Source organism: Homo sapiens, chromosome 10 (genome assembly GCF_000001405.40).
Source record: "Homo sapiens chromosome 10, GRCh38.p14 Primary Assembly".
In the NCBI taxonomy this organism is placed as follows: domain Eukaryota; kingdom Metazoa; phylum Chordata; class Mammalia; order Primates; family Hominidae; genus Homo; species Homo sapiens.
This window is the reverse complement of record NC_000010.11, coordinates 38,525,772-38,529,907: the sequence shown is the minus strand read 5'-3', so window position 1 is coordinate 38,529,907 and position 4,136 is coordinate 38,525,772. Positions and strand designations below refer to the sequence as shown.

The 4,136-nt window shown below is 39.6% G+C and overlaps 1 annotated feature.

Moving 5' to 3' along the window:
- Positions 2,443–3,304: an enhancer, noted in NCBI's record as "OCT4-NANOG hESC enhancer chr10:38815532-38816393 (GRCh37/hg19 assembly coordinates)". NCBI's record gives its function as "activates a minimal SCP1, AML or CMV promoter by ChIP-STARR-seq in primed H9 embryonic stem cells {active_cell/tissue: H9 hESC(primed)}" and the evidence as "EXISTENCE:reporter gene assay evidence [ECO:0000049][PMID:30033119]".

Sequence of the window (4,136 nt, the reverse complement as noted above, 5' to 3'; positions counted from 1 at the left end):
GAATTCCATTCAATTCCATTCCTTTTGAGTCCATTCAATTCCATTCCATTCCGTTTGAGTCCATTCCATTCCATTCCTTTTCCTTCCATACCATTCCATTCCATTCCATTCCATTCCATTCCATTCCATCCCAGTCCATTCCATTCCATTCCATTCCATTCTGTTTGTGTCGATTCCATTTGATTCCATGACATACATTCGGGTCCATTCCATTCAACTCCATTCCATTTGTTTCCACGCCATTACATTCTTTTCCATTCCAGTCCACTCCTTTGGATTCTATGCCTTTCCATTCCATTCCATTCAAGTCCATTCCTTTCCATTCCTTTCTATTCAATTCGAATCCATTCCATTCCAATCCATTGGAGTCTGTTCCATTCCACTCCATTCCATTGCAGTCCGTTCTATTCCATTTCATTCCATTCCATTCCATTCCATTCCATTCGAGTCCGTTCCATTCCATTCCAATTCATTCTGTTCGGTTCCATTCCATTCCATTCCATTCTAGTCCATTTCATTCCAATCCATTCCATTCCAGAAGAATCCATTCAATTCCAATCCATTCGAGTCCTTAACACTCCATTCCATTAAAGTCCATTCCATTCAACACCATTCCATTCGAGTCCATCACATTCTATTCCATTCGTGTCCATTCCTTTCAATTCCTTTCTAGTCCATTCCAATCCATTCCATTACATTCGAGTCCATTCCATTGTGTTCCATTCCAATCGAGTCAATTCCATTCCATTCAATTCCATTCGATTCCATTCCATTAGATTCCATTCCATTAGGGTCCTTTCTATTACATTACATGCCCTTCCTTTCTAGTCCATTCCATTCCATTCGAGTCCATTTCATTCCATTCCCTTCGAATCCATTCCTTTCCATTCCATTCCATTCCACTCCATTCCATTCCATTCTATTTCATTCAAGTCCATTCTATTCCATTTCATTCCATTCCATTCCAGTCGATTCCACTCCATTCCATTCCATTCCATTCTATTCCATGCCATTCAATGCCATTCGATTCCATTCCATTTCATTCCATTCCATTCCTTTCCATTCGCATAAATTACATTCCATTACCTTCCATTCCATTCGAGTACATTCCATTCCGTTACATTCAATTCCATTCGAGTCCATTCATTTCCATTCCATCTATTCGTTTCCAATGCACTCCATTCCATTCGAGTCCATTCCATTTCTCTCCATTCCATTACAGTCCATTCTCTTCTATTACATTTGAATCTGTTCCATCCTATTCCATTCCATTCGAGTCCATTCCATTCCATTTCATTCGAGTCCATTCCATTCCATTCTATACCATTTGGTTACATTCCATTCCTTTCCATTCGAGTCCATTCCATTCCAACCCATTTCATTCGAGTCCATTGCATTCCATTCCATTCGAATCCATTTCATTCGAGTCCATTGCATTCCATTCCATTCGAATCCATACCATTCCATTCGATTCGATTCCATTCCATTCCATTTGATTCCATTCCATTGCATTCCATTCCATGCCATTCAGGTCCAATCCATTCAATTCCATTCGAGTCAATTCCATTGCAATCCATTCGAGTCCATTCCATTGCTTTGCATTCCAATCCCTTCGAGTCGATTCAATTCCATTTCATTCCATTCGCATCCATTCCATTCCATTCAGTTCGAGTCCATTCAATTTCATTCCATTCTATTTGAGTAAAGTCCATCTTATTCCATTCAAGTCCACAACATTTCATTCCATTAGAGTCCATTTCTTTCAATTCTGTTGTATTTCATTCGAGTCCATTCCATTCCATTCCATTCCATTCCATTTGAGTCCTTTCCATTCCATTTCATTCCATTCGTGAGCATTCCATTCCATTCCATTTAAATAGGTTCCATTCCATTTCATTCCATTCGAGTCCATTGCATTCCATTGCATTCCTTTCTGTTCCTATCCATTCCCTTCCATTTCTGTCCATTCCAAACCATTCCATTCCATTCCATTCCATTCCATTCCATCCGAGACCATTCGATTCCATTCCATTCCATTCGAGTCCAATTTACTCCACTACATTCCATACAAATCATGTCATTTCAGTTCCATTCCATTTGAGTCTATTCCACTCCATTTCATTCGTGTCCATTCCGTTCCACACCATTCCATTGGAGTCCATCCCATTCTGTTCCATTCGTGTCCATTCCATTCAATTCCATTCAAGTCAATTCTATTCCATTCCTTTCCAGTCCATTCCATTGCATTCCATAGCATTTGATTCCAATCCATTCCATTCCATTCGAGTCCATTCCATTCCATTCCTTTAGATTCCATCCCATTGGGTCCATTCTATTAAATTCCATTCCCTTCCATTCGAGTCCATTCCATTCCATTCGAGACCATTCCATTCCATTCCCTTTGATTTCATACCATTCCATTGCATTCTATTCCATTCAAGTCAGTTCCATTCCATTTCATTCCATTCCATTCCAGTCCATTCTATTCCTTTCCATTCCATTCCATTTGATTCCATTCCATTCCATTACCTTCCATTCCATTCGAGTACATTCCATTCTATTACATTGGAATCCATTCCATTCCATTCCATTTCATTCGACTGCATCCCATTCGATTTCATTCGAGTCCAATCCATTCTATTACATTTGAATCCATTCCATTCCTTTCCATTCCATCCGAGTCCATTCCATTCCATTCGAGTCCATTCCATTCTATGACCTTTGGATCCGTTCCATTCCATTCCATTCGAGTCCATTCCATTCCATTCGAGTCCATTCCATTCGTGTATAGTCCATTTTATTCCATTGGAGCCCGCAACATTCCGTTACATTAGAGTCCATTCGATTAAATTTCGTTGTATTTCATTCGAGTCCTTTCCATTTCATTCCATTCCATCCGTGACCATTCCATTCCAGTCCATTCCTTTCAAATCCATTTCATTCCAATGTATTCCATTCCAATCGTGTCCATTCAATTCCATTCCATTCGAGTCCAATCCACTCCATTCCATTCGAATCCCTTCCATTCCACACCATTCCTTTCGAGTCCTTTCCATTCTATTGCACTCAAGTCCATTCCATTCAATTTCATTCGAGTCAATTCCATTCCATTCCATTCGAGTCCATTCCATTGCATTGCATTCCTTGGGAGTCCATTCCATTCCATTCCATTCGAGTCCATTTCATTCCATTCCATTAGATTCCATGCCATTAGACTCCATTCTGTTAAATTCCATTCCTTTCCTTTCGATTCCATTCCATTCCTTTTCCTTCGAGTCCATTCCATTCCAATCCATTCTATTCCATTCAAATCCATTCCATTCCGTTTCACTCCATTGCATTCCATTCCGTTGAATTCCATTCGAATCTATTCCATTCCATTCCACTCCATTCCATTCTATTCGAGTAAATTTCATGCCATTACCTTCCATTCCATTCGAGTACTTTCTATTCCGTTACAATCCATTCCATTCGACTCCAATCATTTCCATTCCATTCTATTCATTTCAATTGCACTCCATTCCATTCGAGTCCATTCCATTCCACTCCATTCCATTCAAGTCCATTCCATTCTATTACATTTGAATCCGTTCTATTCCATTCCATTCCATTTGAGTCCTTTCAATCCCATTTCATTCGAGTCTATTCCATTCCATTCTGTACCATTTGATTTCGTGCCATTCCGTTCCATGCGAGTCCATTCCATTCCAACCCATTCCATTCGAGTCCATTCCATTCCATTCCATTCGAATCCATTCCATTGCATTCCATTCCCTTCGATTCCATTCCTTTCCATTCCATTCGAGTCCATTCCATTCCATTCCAATGTCCATTTCTTTCAATTCCATTCGAGTCAATTCCACTCCATTCCATTCGAGTCCATTGCATTGCATTGCATTCCAATCCTTTTGAGATCATTCAATTCCATTTCATTCCATTCAAATCCATTCCATTTCATTCCATTCGAGTTCATTCCATTGCATTCCCTTCCATTCGTGTCCAGTCCATTTTATTCCATTCAAGTCCACAACATTCAATTCTATTATAGACCATTCCATTAAATTCCGTTGTGTTTCATTCGAGTCCTTTCCATTCCATTCCATTCAAATCCATTCCATTGCATTCCATTCCCTTCA